At 51.9% G+C, this 18,779-nt stretch overlaps 2 protein-coding genes, 1 long non-coding RNA gene and 1 pseudogene across 3 annotated transcripts in view, besides 2 other annotated features; 2 read left to right on the top strand and 2 right to left on the bottom strand.

Annotated features, from left to right (window-relative positions):
* Nucleotides 1-18,779, bottom strand: part of LOC124901865 (translation initiation factor IF-2-like) — a 451,468-nt pseudogene that overhangs the window by 40,000 nt on the left and 392,689 nt on the right.
* On the top strand, nt 2,194-5,204 carry FAM90A24 (family with sequence similarity 90 member A24). Its single transcript, NM_001423530.1, has 4 exons — nt 2,194-2,316; nt 2,811-3,010; nt 3,469-3,577; nt 4,242-5,204. The coding sequence occupies exons 1-4, from the start codon at nt 2,194-2,196 to the stop codon at nt 5,202-5,204; spliced, it is 1,395 nt and encodes a 464-aa protein (NP_001410459.1).
* Nucleotides 4,388-4,887: an enhancer, noted in NCBI's record as "H3K4me1 hESC enhancer chr8:7877827-7878326 (GRCh37/hg19 assembly coordinates)". NCBI's record gives its function as "activates a minimal SCP1, AML or CMV promoter by ChIP-STARR-seq in primed H9 embryonic stem cells {active_cell/tissue: H9 hESC(primed)}" and the evidence as "EXISTENCE:reporter gene assay evidence [ECO:0000049][PMID:30033119]".
* Nucleotides 4,888-5,389: an enhancer, noted in NCBI's record as "H3K4me1 hESC enhancer chr8:7877325-7877826 (GRCh37/hg19 assembly coordinates)". NCBI's record gives its function as "activates a minimal SCP1, AML or CMV promoter by ChIP-STARR-seq in primed H9 embryonic stem cells {active_cell/tissue: H9 hESC(primed)}" and the evidence as "EXISTENCE:reporter gene assay evidence [ECO:0000049][PMID:30033119]".
* FAM90A11 (family with sequence similarity 90 member A11) lies at nt 9,840-12,850 on the top strand. The gene is made up of 4 exons (NM_001423539.1): nt 9,840-9,962; nt 10,457-10,656; nt 11,115-11,223; nt 11,888-12,850. Exons 1-4 carry the CDS (start codon nt 9,840-9,842, stop codon nt 12,848-12,850), a joined length of 1,395 nt encoding a protein of 464 aa, NP_001410468.1.
* The window catches only part of FAM66E (family with sequence similarity 66 member E), a 53,743-nt gene continuing 51,400 nt past the window's right edge, over nt 16,437-18,779 (bottom strand). Inside the window, exon 7 of the long non-coding RNA NR_027424.1 lies at nt 16,437-16,997. This is a non-coding gene — a long non-coding RNA (family with sequence similarity 66 member E). The remainder of the gene's footprint in view (nt 16,998-18,779) is intronic.

Below are 18,779 nucleotides of genomic sequence, written 5' to 3'. Positions count from 1 at the left end.
CGTCAGCAGGCCTTCCAACCTGAATCATGAATAATTAATGAAGCGCAAATCAAAGGGGACTCGAGTTTCAGCAGGAGCAATTCATCCAACGGGAGATCGCCGGAGGGCCAACAAGATTGAGTGACTGGGAGCCGGGTGCAGTGTCAAAGGGGAGGCGACTGGTTCCAAAGCTCGAGAAGACCATGGGGTCACTTGGGCTACATGAGAAAACACCCCAGTGTGCTGGTTCATCATTCCGACTCCTGCCTGTCTCTTCCCGTCCAAGGAACATGGACCCTAAGTCGTGCAGGTGTGGATGACCATGGGCAGAATTAGGGGCCGTGGCACAAAAGTTCACCGACACGGGAGTTCCACAGAAGGTGCGGTGGATCTTCGCAAATCCAGAGACATGGCAATGGGACCCAGGGAATTAGAGCCTCACAGGCGTCCGGGAGACTTTTCAGGCATAATGCCTGGAGTCGCAAGACGAGCTGAAAAAGGAGCCAGGCACTGAAGGACAAAGCGTTGTTGACTTTCCTCATCTGTGTTTCCCAGTGTGGTCCAATTCACGGTGGTTTCCAAGCGCCTCCTGGGGGAGAAAACACATGAGGGTGCGGTCAGGGTTCTCTGCTGACAGACTTACCTTGGGGAAGAAAGAGAAGCTCTGAAGATGGATCATGGCCGTGACTGCATGTCAAGCAGAGTCTCCTTGATGACACTGAGGCCTACGTCGAGATAGACAAAATGTGGTCCAATTAAAAGGTGTCTATTTTACCACATTTTTTAAAACAAAACAAAACAAAACAACAAAAAAGATGGAAAAGAAGACAGGGGTACAGGCACCAGTGTTACATGTCTGACGGGGAACATCTATTGTTCAAAGCTTGCAGCTGTACAAGTAGGTTTTAGAATGTCTGTCAGCAGTGGACATGATCTTAGAGTGGGCTGTGCAGATAGACCTTTCCAGGTCATGTAATTGGATTAAGTTAATTGCAATTAAGGTACAGGTAACTGATTAGGTTAGGGTACGTTCCATGTCAGGTGACCAGAGGCAGTATAAAAGGCAGCCTGGAAAGCGGAGGTCCCTCTCCGCCCCTTCCTCCGTCGTCCTGGATGCTGCATCGCTTCCAGCCGGGCTGCTGCAGCACCTGCCCATCTCAGCGCCAGCCTGGGAAAGAAAGTAGACGTGTAATTTCAGGTTAGTTTCGCTGAACAATTGATTGTTTCACGCAATCCCTGAGGTGGTTTTGCGGGGGTTGTGGGGGAGGAAGAGACAAAGGAGGCCGAAAGAAACCGATCACACTGGGGCTTGCTGGTGGGGTAGGATGTGTTCTCGTTACTAGTAATTCTTGGAACAGAAAACGAGAAAACATATCCGTCTCCACGTGTGGGAGAAGACCAAGATGGGAATGCGAAAAGAAATGTACTGCAGCATGCTGAATTGGTGGGTAAATGGAAAAAGGACTTTGGAAAAAAGGGGGGTTTGCCCTTCAGCCGTGTAAGACGTCGATACGATACGGCACTTCTTCCCCGTTTGTTCAGATGAATTCGTGTGGTGTGCGTAAAATACCAGGAAAATAAATAAAGAGGGGCTGGAGCTAAAGCCAAAAGATAGAACAGGAAAGATCATCACCTGCTAGTGCGGTAGAGAGGAAGGTAACTTCTCTGTATGAATTTGTGTTTGGAAGTTGCCTAATGAAATGGCAAGAGTAGCGATTCAAGTTGTCACAGGAAGCATCCCTTATCCGTGACTTCAAGCAGACCTGCCAAAGGGTGGCACACGCCATGCCCTGTGTCTTCGATCATTCTGTCCGTCAAGGGAGATAGAATCACCGTGTCTTCTACCGGAGTGAATCGTGAGAGACCTAAGTCCAGTCTCCAGAATCAGTTGTTTGTTTGGGGTTGAAATCTCAACCCCCCATACCTAGGCCACGGGCCCTGTGGCAGGTGGGATTTACTCTTGGACTAGGTAGTCATGGCAGAGGAACACACAATATCCGAGGATGCGCACAACACATTGTGTTCTACAGATTTGACCGACTGGTGGTGAGGTCTCCTCATGACCACACAGGCAGGGAGTTAGCAGGTGGCTTCCTGTGGGTGTGTGAATATCCAACGTGCTTAACCATCGACATGTGTGTGTTTGTGTGTGTTTCAGGTGGCCCAACAGTCCACCCCTGAAAAAGGCGGTCATAAAACCCCCAGGAGACGAAGATGATGGCACGTCGGGACCCCACATCTTGGGCCAAGAGACTGGTGAGAGCCCAGACCCTCCAGAAGCAGCGGAGGGCCCCAGTTGGGCCAAGGGCTCCCCCGCCCGATGAAGAAGATCCCAGGGTAAGTCTAGCCCTGGATCTCTTGGGTATCGGGGTGGGGGTGGGGTCGGGGGGAGGGGGTGTCCCACGGTCCTCAGAGACTGGGTTGGATTCCAAAGAGTTCTGTCACCACCAGCCAGGTTGCTTTTCCCATCCAAGGTGGGCGTGGCTTGGGACCTTCTCCCCGGCCCGATAGGTCCCTTGAGAGACTCTTGGGGGCAACCTCCCTTTCTACTTAGAGTCCTGTATAGCCACGTTTGGCTGCGTTGTTGACATCGGCTTCACCATCGTGCCCCTTGGAACTTTGAGTCCTTCCTTTCAGAGTTCCTCCGTCCCGTGGGCTTTGCGAGGGAACATCGTATCCGAACTCTCCCGGCACTTAACGGCCCCCATGCCGGTGTCCCCTCTTTGGAATCCTTATTCAGCTCTGAATTCACAATCCGTCCCAATGTTGACGTGGGATCGCTGCCTGTGGCTTCAGCTCACTCACTGACATCACTTCCTTTCCACCCACAGCTCAAGTGCAAAAACTGCGGGGCCTTTGGCCACACGGCCAGAAGTACCAGGTGCCCCATGAAGTGCTGGAAGGCAGCCCTGGTTCCAGCGACCTTGGGGAAAAAGGAAGGGAAGGAAAACCTGAAACCATGGAAGCCCCGGGGTGAAGCCAACCCGGGGCCCTTGAACAAGGATAAGGGAGAGAAGGAAGAGAGACCAAGGTGAGCAGTGGGAGGGGTTTTCACCACTCTTAGGGTACTGCCTCCTAAGGACATGGTGTCTCTGCACCTGCACACCGTGTGCCTTTCCGTCTCCGGGCCAGGGAAGGAACGCTGCAGAGAAATAGGCCGGAGCTCCGTGTCCTCCGGGGTTCCACACCCAGGAGCTCCTTGGGCTCTGGGAGATTCAGGGACGGGGAGAGGCGGGGGCGCTTCGTGCAGGTTCCCCACGACAGCGGGAAAAGCGATGGAATCCAAATCACAGTCCTTAGTTGGGAAGCCTAGAGGGCCACCTGGAGGATGGGAAGGTTGGCACGTGAGGGAAGGTGCAGAGGCGGAAAGGGCACCAGATGTCCATTTCTGTATCACAAAACACGGAATGGGGCTGGGCCCCAGACGGGGTTCTCCCTGTCTCCTGGGGAAAACCAGGGGGCACGGCCTGACCTTCTTCTGTTCTGCAGGCAACAAGACCCGCAGAGGAAGGCTCTCCTCCACATGTTTTCCGGGAAACCTCCAGAGAAGCCGCTGCCGAATGGAAAAGGATCCACGGAATCTTCTGATTATCTGAGGGCGAGTGTCACCCCGGGCCCCTGGTCTTTTTCTCCTCTAGGTCACCCTGGTTGATTTCCTTTCAGCTTCCCGTCTGCGGGAGGAAATCGGGGAACCCCTCTTTCTTGCCTTCTTGGGGTCAGGGACTCCACGATCCTTCCAGGTCAATTGGATTCCAGGCGAAGGCATCTGAACATGCCGTATTTCCTGTTGCTTTCTTTCTGTCCAATTATGGCAAGCCTGCCAACAACACGTTCCTAGCGGCATGAGGAAATTAGTCCCTCAGAGGCCCCAAACGTGGAGAAGGCGAAACCCAGGAACATGCATGTGTTCAGAGAAGACGTCCCGAGTACCCTTGAGCCAGCAACCTGCCGTGGGAAGGGCATTAGTCCGTTCCACTTCATGGAAGGCTGAGTGGAGGCGCTTTGATCCAGTTAATGCCCAAGACGCGATCTTTTGAACAATGGTGTGCTTAGATCAGCTACACATAGCTCGAGAGCGCATCTTTCATGTGTCTTGTCCTGATCAGCACTCAGGTGGAGGGTCTGTCCCTACTTCCAAGGACCGCCTGTCGATACTGTACTAAGAATTTCATGGCGTGTGCACCTTGTCTTTGGATGTGCTTGATTTTCACGTTGGCTCCATGCTGAGGAACTTCTAACCTGGGTTGTTTCCTCTCTTTCAGGTTGCAAGCGGGCCAATGCCGGTCCACACAACCAGTAAGAGGCCGCGCTTGGACCCTGTCCTCGCTGATCGCTCCGCAACCGAAATGTCTGGCAGGGGCTCCGTCTTGGCTTCACTGTCTCCCCTCAGAAAAGCCAGCCTGAGCTCCTCCTCAAGTCTTGGACCAAAGGAAAGACAGACTGGGGCTGCGGCCGACATGCCTCAGCCTGCAGTCAGGCACCAGGGCCGCGAGCCTCTCCTCGTGGTGAAGCCGACACACAGCCGCCCCGAGGGTGGCTGCCGAGAAGTTCCCCAGGCTGCCTCCAAAACCCACGGCCTGCTCCAGGCCTCCAGACCCCAGGCACAAGACAAACGTCCTGCGGTGACCCCACAGCCCTGCCCGCCAGCCGCCACACACAGCTTGGGCCTAGGCTCCAATCTCAGCTTCGGGCCAGGAGCCAAGAGACCTGCCCAGGCTCCGATTCAGGCTTGCCTGAACTTCCCCAAGAAACCGAGACTGGGTCCCTTCCAGATCCCCGAAAGCGCCATCCAGGGAGGTGAGCTGGGGGCCCCGGAGAATCTCCAACCTCCGCCAGCCGCAACCGAACTTGGACCAAGTACGTCGCCCCAGATGGGCAGGAGGACACCGGCCCAGGTGCCCAGCGTCGACCGGCAGCCTCCGCACAGCAGACCTTGCCTGCCTACTGCCCAGGCCTGCACCATGTCCCATCACTCAGCGGCCGGCCATGATGGGGCCCAGCCTCTCAGAGTGCTCTTCCGGAGACTGGAAAACGGACGCTGGAGCTCCAGCCTCCTGGCGGCCCCCTCATTTCACTCTCCTGAGAAGCCGGGAGCCTTTCTCGCTCAGAGCCCTCATGTGTCAGAGAAGTCTGAGGCTCCCTGTGTTCGTGTCCCACCGAGCGTCCTCTATGAGGACCTTCAGGTTTCCTCCTCCTCAGAGGACAGCGATTCTGACCTGGAGTGAGACTGCAGGTGGCAGGGGCTCCTTGGCCTCCAGTTCCCGTGACTTGGAGGGGACTGTGGGACTGAGGAGCGCAGAGCAGAGAGCACACTCTGTGCGGTGACTCCGAAGCTCCCCGGCTGTGGCGCTTCTGTGGATGTGGGAGCCCAGGCCAGGCAGGGAGCAGATGCAGGGACTCTGCCTCATTGAATTCTGGTGAGGGACGTTGTAGTTGGCGTGGTTCTCCCGAAACGCGCCAGGAAAAGCTTCCGTGCCAGAGATTCGTTGCCTCAGAAACTGCGTGACGCGCAGGAGTCAGACTTCCGCTGGGACGTCAATAGGAAACTGGGGAATTACTGTGTATTTGCTGTCTAGATGACTGAATAAGGGAAAAGTTAGGGAACCCTGAGAGGTGCAGCCCTTCCGCTGTGCCCCGCCCTGAGAGCAGTGTTTCGGACGCTGGGAAGCGTGCTGTGCGAAGCGCTCTCGGGGTCTTTCCTCAGCCTCGAAAACTGGGCTCTGGAATGCCTTTGTACATATGTGTGTTTAATGTGTTTTGAAGTGAATAAAATTCTCAAAAAGATGACATATTGTCTTTTGACTCTCATTCCGTGTTTGTGTGTAACTGATTTTCCAAGTGAAGGGGTGGCCTGCCCCTCCACACCTGTGGGTGTTTCTAGTCGGGTGGGATGAGAGACGGAGAAAAGAAATAAGACACAGAGACAAAGTATAGGGAGACAACAGTGGGTCCAGGGGACAGGCACTCAGCACACCTAGGACCTGCACCGGCACCGGCCTCTGAGTTCCCTCAGTTTTTATTGATTATGATTTTCATTATTTCAGCACAAAGGAATGCAGTAGGGGAGCAGGGTGATAATAAGGGGAAGGTCAACAACAACAACAAAAAACAAACACGTGAGCAAAAGAATCCATATCATTATTAAGTTCAAGGGAAGGTACTATGCCTGGACGTGCACGTAGGCCAGATTTATGTTTCTCTCCACACAAATATCTCAGCGGAGTAAACAAAGCAAGGCAGCATTACTGCCAACATGTCTCACCTCCCGCCACAGGGCAGCTTTTCTCCGAGCTCAGAGTTGAACAAATGTACGATCGGGCTTTACACCGAGACATTCAGTTCCCAGGGGCAAGCAGGAGACAGTGGCCTTCCTCCATTTGAACTGCAAGAGGCGTTCCTCTTTGACTAATCCACCTCAGCACAGACCCATTGCGGGTGTCAGGCTGGGGGACATTCAGGACTTTCCCATCCCACGAGGCCATATTTCAGACTGTCACATGGGGAGAAACCTTGGACAATACCCTGCTTTCAAGGGCAGAGGTCCCTGTGGCTTTCCACGGTACATTGCGCCCCTGGTTTATTGAGACTAGAGAATGGCAATGACTTCTACCAAGTATACTGCTCGTAAACATTTGGTTAACAAGGCGCGTCCTGCACAGCCCTAGATCCCTTAAACCTCGATTTTATACAACACAGGTTTTTGTGAGCTCCAAGTTGGGTCAAAGGAAGGGGCTGCGGCAAAGCTACAAATGATCAACATCTCAGTAAAGCAATTGTTTAAAGTACAGGTCTTTTTCAAAATGGAGTCTCTTATGTCTTCCCCTTCTACATAGACACAGTGACAGTCTGATCTCTCTTTCTTTACCCTACATCCAAGGGCTTGAACATTTCTTGATTTGTTGGCAATCCAAATCGTTACGTCTCCGAAACAGAGTTGACTGAGGGGACCGCAGGGCTGGGCAGGACCTTTGACTTCCTATACATCCACAGGAGCAAGAAAACCTCAGCCCCACTCTACCAACACGCACCTAGTAAAATTCCGCCAACCGAATCTCACGCACGCTAACACGTGGGGAGCGTTGCTTGCACCACGAGTCCCCATTTGGCTCAACCGCCGATGCCAAGTGTGTGGTTCCAGTTGCGACGGCCCCCCGTGAAGTGGCTTCCGGATGTGCGAAGGAACCAGGCAGAGTTTCACTGGCCAAATAGACCCCAGCAAAGCTGAAGTTAACTCCCACATTTGGGATGTACTTCAGAGGTAAAACATTCATCCCGTCTTCTTTCCGGATGTCTGACACCATGGTTCTCCCCCTGATCCTAAGAGTAGCTGAGGCAGAGACTCACTAAAAGATCTAGGCGGGGATATCCCATCATGCACAGGCTCTCTCCATTCTCTGACCTGGGACCAACTCTCAGCAGGATTCCACATCTAGGAGGCCTCGGAACTCAGCGGGATTTTCTGAGACACACCAACTGGCTGCTCCCTTTCCGCCGCTGTTGAGGGTCGTTATCTTGATTATCCAGATCAACTAGAAAGTATCCGTATCCAGAATGAATAAGATCAACTCTCTGCTCCTCTGACAGCAGAAGGAGCAGGACCATAAGGAACCAAAGAGCGTGGAAGGAAACGATGTGACAGGAAAGCTCAGAGAACGGCCACAGGGGGTCTTCAGCAGGCCTTCCAACCTGAATCATGAATAATTAATGAAGCGCAAATCAAAGGGGACTCGAGTTTCCGCAGGAGCAATTCATCCAACGGGAGATCGCCGGAGGGCCAACAAGATTGAGTGACTGGGAGCCGGGTGCAGTGTCAAAGGGGACGCGACTGGTTCCAAAGCTCGAGAAGACCATGGGGTCACTTGGGCTACATGAGAAAACGCCCCAGTGTGCTGGTTCATCATTCCGACTCCTGCCTGTCTCTTCCCGTCCAAGGAACATGGACCCTAAGTCGTGCAGGTGCGGATGACCATGGGCAGAATTAGGGGCCGTGGCACAAAAGTTCACCGACACGGGAGTTCCACAGAAGGTGCGGTGGATCTTCGCAAATCCAGAGACATGGCAATGGGACCCAGGGAATTACAGCCTCACAGGCGTCCGGGAGACTTTTCAGGCATAATGCCTGGAGTCGCAAGACGAGCTGAAAAAGGAGCCAGGCACTGAAGGACAAAGCGTTGTTGACTTTCCTCATCTGTGTTTCCCAGTGCGGTCCAATTCACGGTGGTTTCCAAGCGCCTCCTGGGGGAGAAAACACATGAGGGTGCGGTCAGGGTTCTCTGCTGACAGACTTACCTTGGGGAAGAAAGAGAAGCTCTGAAGATGGATCATGGCCGTGACTGCATGTCAAGGAGAGTCTCCTTGATGACACTGAGGCCTACGTCGAGAGAGACAAAATGTGGTCCAATTAAAAGGTGTCTATTTTACCACATTTTTTAAAACGAAACAAAACAAAACAACAAAAAAGATGGAAAAGAAGACAGGGGTACAGGCACCAGTGTTACATGTCTGACGGGGAACATCTATTGTTCAAAGCTTGCAGCTGTACAAGTAGGTTTTAGAATGTCTGTCAGCAGTGGACAGGATCTTAGAGTGGGCTGTGCAGATAGACCTTTCCAGGTCATGTAATTGGATTAAGTTAATTGCAATTAAGGTACAGGTAACTGATTAGGTTAGGGTACGTTCCATGTCAGGTGACCAGAGGCAGTATAAAAGGCAGCCTGGAAAGCAGAGGTCCCTCTCCGCCCCTTCCTCCGTCGTTCTGGATGCTGCATCGCTTCCAGCGGGGCTGCTGCAGCACCTGCCCATCTCAGCGCCAGCCTGGGAAAGAAAGTAGACGTGTAACTTCAGGTTAGTTTCGCTGAACAATTGTTTCTTTCACGCAATCCCTGGGGGGGTTTTGCGGGGGGTGGGGGGGGAGGAAGAGACAAAGGAGGCCGAAAGAAACCGATCACACTGGGGCTTGCTGGTGGGGTAGGATGTGTTCTCGTTACTAGTAATTCTTGGAACAGAAAACGAGAAAACATATCCGTCTCCACGTGTGGGAGAAGACCAAGATGGGAATGCGAAAAGAAATGTACTGCAGCATGCTGAATTGGTGGGTAAACGGCAAAAGGACTTTGGAAAAAAGGGTGGTTGGCCCTTGAGCCGTGTAAGACGTCGATACGATATGGCACTTCTTCCCCGTTTGTTCAGATGAATTCGTGTGGTATGCGTAAAATACCAGGAAAATAAATAAAGAGGGGCTGGAGCTAAAGCCAAAAGATAGAACAGGAAAGACCATCACCTGCTAGTGCGGTAGAGAGGAAGGTAACTTCTCTGTATGAATTTGTGTTTGGAAGTTGCCTAATGAAATGGCAAGAGTAGCGATTCAAGTTGTCACAGGAAGCATCCCTTATCCCTGACTTCAAGCAGACCTGCCAAAGGGTGGCACACGCCATTCCCTGTGTCTTCGATCATTCTGTCCGTCAAGGGAGATAGAATCACCGTGTCTTCTACCGGAGTGAATCGTGAGAGACCTAAGTCCAGTCTCCAGAATCAGTTGTTTGTTTGGGGTTGAAAGCTCAACCCCCCTACCTAGGCCACGGGCCCTGTGGCAGGTGGGGTTTACTCTTGGACTAGGTAGTCATGGCAGAGGAACACACAATATCCGAGGATGCGCGCAGCACATTGTGTTCTACAGATTTGACCGACTGGTGGTGAGGTCTCCTCATGACCACACAGGCAGGGAGTTAGCAGGTGGCTTCCTGTGGGTGTGTGAATATCCAACGTGCTTAACCATCGACATGTGTGTGTTTGTGTGTGTTTCAGGTGGCCCAACAGTCCACCCCTGAAAAAGGCGGTCATAAAACCCCCAGGAGACGAAGATGATGGCACGTCGGGACCCCACATCTTGGGCCAAGAGACTGGTGAGAGCCCAGACCCTCCAGAAGCAGCGGAGGGCCCCAGTTGGGCCAAGGGCTCCCCCGCCCGATGAAGAAGATCCCAGGGTAAGTCTAGCCCTGGATCTCTTGGGTATCGGGGTGGGGGTGGGGACGGGGGGAGGTGGTGTCCCACGGTCCTCAGAGACTGGGTTGGATTCCAAAGAGTTCTGTCACCACCAGCCAGGTTGCTTTTCCCATCCAAGGTGGGCGTGGCTTGGGACCTTCTCCCCGGCCCGATAGGTCCCTTGAGAGACTCTTGGGGGCAACCTCCCTTTCTACTTAGAGTCCTGTGTAGCCACGTTTGGCTGCGTTGTTGACATCGGCTTCACCATCGTGCCCCTTGGAACCTTGAGTCCTTCCTTTCAGAGTTCCTCCGTCACACGGGCTTTGCGAGGGAACATCGTATCCGAAGTCTCCCAGCACTTAACGGCCCCCATGCCGGTGTCCCCTCTTTGGAATCCTTATTCAGCTCTGAATTCACAATCCGTCCCAATGTTGACGTGGGATCGCTGCCTGTGGCTTCAGCTCACTCACTGACATCACTTCCTTTCCACCCACAGCTCAAGTGCAAAAACTGCGGGGCCTTTGGCCACACGGCCAGAAGTACCAGGTGCCCCATGAAGTGCTGGAAGGCAGCCCTGGTTCCAGCGACCTTGGGGAAAAAGGAAGGGAAGGAAAACCTGAAACCATGGAAGCCCCGGGTTGAAGCCAACCCGGGGCCCTTGAACAAGGATAAGGGAGAGAAGGAAGAGAGACCAAGGTGAGCAGTGGGAGGGGTTTTCACCACTCTTGGGGTACTGCCTCCTAAGGACATGGTGTCTCTGCACCTGCACACCGTGTGCCTTTCCGTCTCCGGGCCAGGGAAGGAACGCTGCAGAGAAATAGGCCGGAGCTCCGTGTCCTCTGGGGTTCCACACCCAGGAGCTCCTTGGGCTCTGGGAGATTCAGGGACGGGGAGAGGCGGGGGCGCTTCGTGCAGGTTCCCCGCGACAGCGGGAAAAGCGATGGAATCCAAATCACAGTCCTTAGTTGGGAAGCCTAGAGGGCCACCTGGAGGATGGGAAGGTTGGCACGTGAGGGAAGGTGCAGAGGCGGAAAGGGCACCAGATGTCCATTTCTGTATCACAAGACACGGAATGGGGCTGGGCCCCAGACGGGGTTCTCCCTGTCTCCTGGGGAAAACCAGGGGGCACGGCCTGACCTTTTTCTGTTCTGCAGGCAACAAGACCCGCAGAGGAAGGCTCTCCTCCACATGTTTTCCGGGAAACCTCCAGAGAAGCCGCTGCCGAATGGAAAAGGATCCACGGAACCTTCTGATTATCTGAGGGCGAGTGTCACCCCGGGCCCCTGGTCTTTTTCTCCTCTAGGTCACCCTGGTTGATTTCCTTTCAGCTTCCCGTCTGCGGGAGGAAATCGGGGAACCCCTCTTTCTTGCCTTCTTGGGGTCAGGGACTCCACGATCCTTCCAGGTCAATTGGATTCCAGGCGAAGGCATCTGAACATGCCGTATTTCCTGTTGCTTTCTTTCTGTCCAATTATGGCAAGCCTGCCAACAACACGTTCCTAGCGGCATGAGGAAATTAGTCCCTCAGAGGCCCCAAACGTGGAGAAGGCGAAACCCAGGAACATGCATGTGTTCAGAGAAGACGTCCCGAGTACCCTTGAGCCAGCAACCTGCCTTGGGAAGGGCATTAGTCCGTTCCACTTCATGGAAGGCTGAGTGGAGGCGCTTTGATCCAGTTAATGCCCAAGACGCGATCTTTTGAACAATGGTGTGCTTAGATCAGCTACACATAGCTCGAGAGCGCATCTTTCATGTGTCTTGTCCTGATCAGCACTCAGGTGGAGGGTCTGTCCCTACTTCCAAGGACCGCCTGTCGATACTGTACTAAGAATTTCATGGCGTGTGCACCTTGTCTTTGGATGTGCTTGATTTTCACGTTGGCTCCATGCTGAGGAACTTCTAACCTGTGTTGTTTCCTCTCTTTCAGGTTGCAAGCGGGCCAATGCCGGTCCACACAACCAGTAAGAGGCCGCGCGTGGACCCTGTCCTCGCTGATGGCTCAGCTACCGAAATGTCTGGCAGGGGCTCCGTCTTGGCTTCACTGTCTCCCCTCAGAAAAGCCAGCCTGAGCTCCTCCTCAAGTCTTGGACCAAAGGAAAGACAGACAGGGGCTGCGGCCGACATCCCTCAGCCTGCAGTCAGGCACCAGGGCCGCGAGCCTCTCCTCGTGGTGAAGCCGACACACAGCAGCCCTGAGGGTGGCTGCCGAGAAGTTCCCCAGGCTGCCTCCAAAACCCACGGCCTGCTCCAGGCCGCCAGACCCCAGGCACAAGACAAACGTCCTGCGGTGACCTCACAGCCCTGCCCGCCAGCCGCCACACACAGCTTGGGCCTAGGCTCCAATCTCAGCTTCGGGCCAGGAGCCAAGAGACCTGCCCAGGCTCCGATTCAGGCTTGCCTGAACTTCCCCAAGAAACCGAGACTGGGTCCCTTCCAGATCCCCGAAAGCGCCATCCAGGGAGGTGAGCTGGGGGCCCTGGAGAATCTCCAACCTCCGCCAGCCGCAACCGAACTTGGACCAAGTACGTCGCCCCAGATGGGCAGGAGGACTTCGGCCCAGGTGCCCAGCGTCGAACGGCAGCCTCCGCACAGCAGACCTTGCCTGCCTACTGCCCAGGCCTGCACCATGTCCCATCACTCAGCGGCCAGCCATGATGGGGCCCAGCCTCTCAGAGTGCTCTTCCGGAGACTGGAAAACGGACGCTGGAGCTCCAGCCTCCTGGCGGCCCCCTCATTTCACTCTCCTGAGAAGCCGGGAGCCTTCCTCGCTCAGAGCCCTCATGTGTCAGAGAAGTCTGAGGCTCCCTGTGTTCGTGTCCCACCGAGCGTCCTCTATGAGGACCTTCAGGTTTCCTCCTCCTCAGAGGACAGCGATTCTGACCTGGAGTGAGACTGCAGGTGGCAGGGGCTCCTTGGCCTCCAGCTCCCGTGACTTGGAGGGGACTGTGGGACTGAGGAGCGCAGAGCAGAGAGCAGACTCTGCGCTGACTTCGATGCTCCCCGGCTGTGGCGCTTCTGTGGATGTGGGAGCCCAGGCCAGGCAGAGAACAGATGCAGGGACTCTGCCTCATTGAATTCTGGTGAGGGACGTTGTATTTCGCATGGGTCTCCGGAAACGCGCCAGGAAAAGCTTCCGCGTCAGTGATTCTTTGCGTCAGAAACTGCGTGATGCGCTGGAGTCAGACTTCCGCTGGGACGTCAATAGGAAACTGGGGAATTACTGTGTATTTGCTCTTTAGATGACTGAATAAGGGAAAAGTTAGGGAACCCTGAGAGGTGCAGCCCTTCCTCTGTGCTCCGCCTTGAGAGCAGTGTTTCGGACGCTGGGAAGCGTGCTGTGCAAAGTGCTCTCGGGGTCTTTCCTCAGCCTCGAAAACTGGGCTCTGGAATGCCTTTGTAAATATGTGTGTTGAATTTGTTTTGAAGTGAATAAAATTCTCAAAAAGATGACATATTGTCTTTTGACTCTCATTCCGTGTTTGTGTTTAACTGATTTTCCAAGTGTAGGGGTCGCCTGCCCCTCCACACCTGTGGGTGTTTCTAGTCGGGTGGGATGAGAGACGGAGAAAAGAAATAAGACACAGAGGCAAAGTATAGGGAGACAAAAGTGGGTCCAGGGGACCGGCACTCAGCACACCAAGGACCTGCACCGGCACCGACCTCTGAGTTCCCTCATTTTTAATTGATTATGATTTTCATTATTTCAGCAAAAAGGAATGTAGTAGGAGAGCAGGGTGATAATAAAGAGAAGGTCAACCAAAAAAACATATGAGCAAAGCAATCTATATCATAATTAAGTTCAAGGGAAGGTACTATGCCTGGACGTGCACGTAGGCCAGATTTATGTTTCTCTCCACCCAAACATCTCAGCGGAGTAAAGAATAACAGGGCAGCATTACTGCCAACATGTCTCGCCTCGCGCCACAGGGCAGCTTTTCTCCTAGCTCAGAGTTGAACAAATGTACGATCGGATTTTACACCGAGACATTCAGCTCCCAGGGGCGAGCAGGAGACAGTGGCCTTCCTCCATCTCAACTACAAGAGGCTTTCCCCTTTGACTAATCCACCTCAGCACAGACGCTTTACCGGTGTCAGGCTAGGGGACAGTCAGGTCTTTTTTATCCCACAAGGCCATATTTCAGAGTATCGCATCGGGAGAAACCTTGGACAATGCCCTACTTTCAAGGGCAGACGTCCCTGCAGCTTTCCACGGTGCATTGTGCCCCTGGTTTATTGAGACTAGAGAATGGCCACGACTTTTACCAAGTATACGGCTTGTAAACATTTGGTTAACAAGGCACGTCCTGCACAGCCCTAGATCCCTTAAGCCTTGATTTTATACAACACAGGTTTTTGTGAGCTCCAAGTTGGGTCAAAGCGGCTGGGGCAAAGTGCCTGGGGCAAAGCTACAAATGAACAACATCTCAGCAAAGCAATTGTTTAAAGTACAGGTCTTTTCCAAAATGGAGTCTCTTATGTCTTCCCTTTCGACATAGACACAGTGACAGTCTGATCTCTCTTTCTTTTCCCTACATCCAAGGGCTTGAACATTTCTTGACTTGTTAGCAATCCAAATCGTTATGTCTCCGAAACAGAGTTGACTGAGGGGACCGCACGGCTGGGCAGGACCTTTGACTTCGTATACATCCACAGGAGAAAGAGAACCTCAGCCCCACTCTACCAACACGCACCTAGTAAAATTCCGCCAACTGAATCTCACGCACGCTAACACGTGGGGAGCGTTGCTTGCACCGCGAGTCCCCATTTGGCTCAACCGCCGATGCCAAGTGTGTGGTTCCGGTTGCGACGGCCCCCCGTGAAGTGGCTTCCGGATGTGCGAATGAACCAGGCAGAGTTTCACTGACCAAATAGTCCCCAGCAAAGCTGTAGTTAACTCCCAGATTTGGGATGTACTTCAGAGGTAAAACATTCATCCCATCTTCTTTCCGGATGTCTGACACCGGGCCTTTCCATGGTTCTCCCACTGATCCTAAGAGTAGCTGAGGTAGAGACTCACTGAAAGATCTAGGCAGGGATATCTCATCATGCACAGACTCTCTCTATTCTCTGACCTGGGAACAACTCTGAGCAGGATTCCACATCTAGGAGGCCTCGGAACTGAGCGGTATTTTCTGAGACACACTGAATGGCTGCTCCCTTTCCGCCGCTGTTGAGGGTCGTTATCTTGATTATCCAGATCACCTAGAAAGTATCCGTATCCAGAATCAATAAGATCTACTCTCTGCTCCTCTGACAGCAGAAGCAGCAGGACCACAATGAACCAAAGAGCGTGGAAGGAAACGATGTGACAGGAAAGCTCAGAGAACGGCCACAGGGAGTCGTAAGCAGGCCTTCCAAACTGAATCATGAATAATTAATGAAGCGCAAATCAAAGGGGACTCGAGTTTCAGCAGGTGCAATTCATCCAAAGGGAGATCGCCGGAGGGCCAACAAGATTGAGAAAGTGGGAGTCGGGTGCAGTGTCAAGGGGGACGCGACTGGTTCCAAAGCTCGAGAAGACCATGGGGTCACTTGGGCTACATGAGAAAATGCCCCAGTGTGCTGGTTCATCATTCCGACTCCTGCCTGTCTCTTCCCGTCCAAGGAACATGGACCCTAACTCGTGCAGTTCCAGATGACTATGGGCAGAATTAGGGGCCGTGGCCCAAAAGTTCACCGACATGGGGGTTCCACAGAAGGTGAGGTGGATCTTCGCAAATCCAGAGAAATGACAATAGGACCCAGGGAATTAGAGCCTCACAGGCGTCCGGGAGACTTTTCAGGTATAATGTCTGGTGTCGCAAGACGAGCTGAAAAGGGAGCCAGGCACTGAAAGACAAAGCGGTGCTGACTTTCTTCATCTGTGTTTCCCAAAGCAGTCCAATTCACTTTGGTAGAATTCATGTATTTATTTTCCGTTGGCTTGTAGTTGCAAACTTTTGATGTTATTGATTTTTGGTTGGAGAGTTTCGGTTTGAAAAAGTAGATATTCTGAATATGGAGGTTGTCCAAGATTGTATCTCAAGGTGAGTCTACTTGATTCCAGCGAACCATACTTTGACATATAATACATATGTTTTAATTATATTTTGTCTGTTTTAAAACAGCTTAAAAAATCACTTCGTGGAAAATGTCAGTTAGATACACCAATGTTAACTTTCTCATCACATGTCCAGAGGCACTGTAAAATTCATTCTAAAATGCAAAATTCCCAGCCACTTCTACGTGGAACTTTCTGCAGAGTGGGATTGTATCCAGTTTTCAGGGGGCGCAGGTGTGGTACGAGCTGGTCCTTGGTTTCCTGCTGAAGTTGGAATCCTGCAGATTGCTTAGGGGCGGTTTCCACCTGTCCCTTCTTTCCAGGTCATCACTAACCTTTCCTGATCCCCCATGGGGACTCAGAACTTATCTAGAGTCACAGGCCCACCTGGGATGCTGCCCTTGAGCCTCTGTGCTGTCCATGATGGTTCCATGCCACTGATCTGCTGGGACACATTCTGCAGAGGGATGGGCTGGCATGAGCTGTCCCTGCCTTTCTGAAAATCACAGAGATTTCTGGTGTCTGAAGCCACATAGAAATATCTGTGGAGTCTCGGGAAGGCCAGGGATGCCATTCACAGGCTGCTGTTCTTCCTCTTAATGGCAGCAAGAGTGATTTCTGAGTTTCCTAATTGACTTCGAAATAATTTTGTTGATTTTGTTGTGACAAAGACCACTCCTCTTTCTGTGGCATCCAGTTCACCTGTAGGGTTTTTTGGGATTATGTGGAAACTCTTGCATTTTTCCAGAGCCTCAATTCATCCTGGATGTTCTCAGGAATGCACTAGCTGATCCCTGCCTTGGTGGCATCTTGAAACATTGAGGGAGGCCCCTTAGGTCCATGAGGCACAAGGAGGTCCATCAGGAATTGAGGGGGCATGTGTCTGCCCATCTGTAGCTGGAACTTCCATTTGCCTTCAGAATGCAGGTTCTTCCTGAACTAATAAATTATCTTCATCTTGGTGTAAGTAGCCACAATATAATAATTCATAGTAACTCTATTAATAAAAATAACTGAATATCAACAATGAAGGTAATAATGACAATGTTAATTATTATAATATTAATAGTAAAAATAAAACAAAGGCAATATAGATTACGGATTCCCCTAAGTGAAGGACAATGTCCAGATATAGGGACACATGTGTCGTTTGCACTCAGAGTCAAATGAAACGTGTTCCTCAAAGGCAAAGGACAAGCAGCATAAGGAAAACACAACGTTCATGGATGATCACATGGGCTACCTTGGAACTCATGTGGAAAGACTGCAGGCAAAGTGTATCTGGTACTGGGACTGCTCACCAGCCAGCCCCCACCCACCTTCATGAGGTAGGACAGCAGGATAATGGGGAAGGGGTCCATGCAAGGGATGCAAGGCTCGTGTCACACCTGATTCAAAGAAGCACTGCTTCTGACAGATGTTTATCTCCTAACACTGTGTCACCTCTAATTGCCTGGCTGCATGTCTGCCATCTGTTCTTCTTAGGTCACAGGAGGGACAGACATTACTGTCCACCTATCTGCATACAGAGCCATTGGAGGCTATTACCCTTGTTGCTTCCTCTTTGGAAAGGGGCAACATACATGGCAGATGCCATTCTCTGTCTCTTTGGAAAACTTTGTCAGCACATTTAAGGTTTTCTTCAGCCACAGAAAGCCACCTGCTTCAAAGTCTCATCCTCCACAAGTGGCAAGCACAGAATCATTAATGGAGGCAAGGGGTACATAGGCTTTGCCATTTGATTCAGTTGGGACAATAGGGGAGGACTTCTTAGCTCTACAGCTCTGTCCGTGTGGCCAGCTGACAATGTCAGGCTGCACTGCGATTAGACTTGTCCCTTTGCACATAAGGCTTCCCTCCAATCCTTTCCACAGATGTGGATCCTCACATCACTTCCTAATATACATCCTGCACACTAAACTTCATCTATATCCAGTTCCCTGGGAACCAAACCTGTGACAAAAGTGAAAAGTTTCTAGGGAAAATAGGGTTTCCTCATCAGACAGGAATCAAATGCTGCTGAGCTAGAAAATAAAGTAAAGTCTGATGCCATCTCCTGATTTTTTTAATTAGGACATTAGCACTGCCAGCAAGAATTATGTGCATCAATTTGTGGGGACAAACATCATGTTGGAGTGGGATGAGGTTGCTGTGAGTTGAGGAGAAATGCTGGTGAATGGACTTTACCCTCAACTTGGATTCAGGAGAGGACATAAAAACAGCTGGAAATAAAAGGTGTCCGAAAACATTTTTCTGGTTTTTCAAAACTTCCAATTTCAGGTTGGGAGACACTATGTTTAAATTCTAAAGGGATGTAGCATGCTGAGAAGAAATAACTATAAACAAGGTGTCCATTTTATGAATAATACAATTTATGGTATGACAGAAGACCAAGGGACATAACACAAATTTGGAGTTAAAGAAATTAACAGACATTCTCAATAATTCCTCAGCTATTATGGCAGAGATGCTGGGACAATGGATGTCCATGTAGCAGTACTTTTTTTTTTTTTTTTTTTTTTTTTGGGAGACGGAGTCTCACTCTGTAACCAGGCTGCCCTGCAATGGCGCAATCTTGGCTCACCGCAACCTCTGCCTCCCGGGTTCAAGCAATCCTCCTGCCTCAGCCTCCCGAGTAGCTGGGACTACAGGCACACACTACCACACTCAGCTAATTTTTGTATTTTTAGTACAGATGGGTTTTCACCATGTTGGCTAGGATGGTCTCAGTTTCCTGATCTCGTGATCTGCCTGCTTTGGCCTCCCAAAGGGTTGGGAT

The sequence above is a fragment of the Homo sapiens genome, chromosome 8, assembly GCF_000001405.40.
Source record: "Homo sapiens chromosome 8, GRCh38.p14 Primary Assembly".
NCBI lineage: Eukaryota > Metazoa > Chordata > Mammalia > Primates > Hominidae > Homo > Homo sapiens.
The sequence above is the reverse complement of the archived record's forward strand: the minus strand, read 5'-3'. Positions and strand labels throughout refer to the sequence as shown.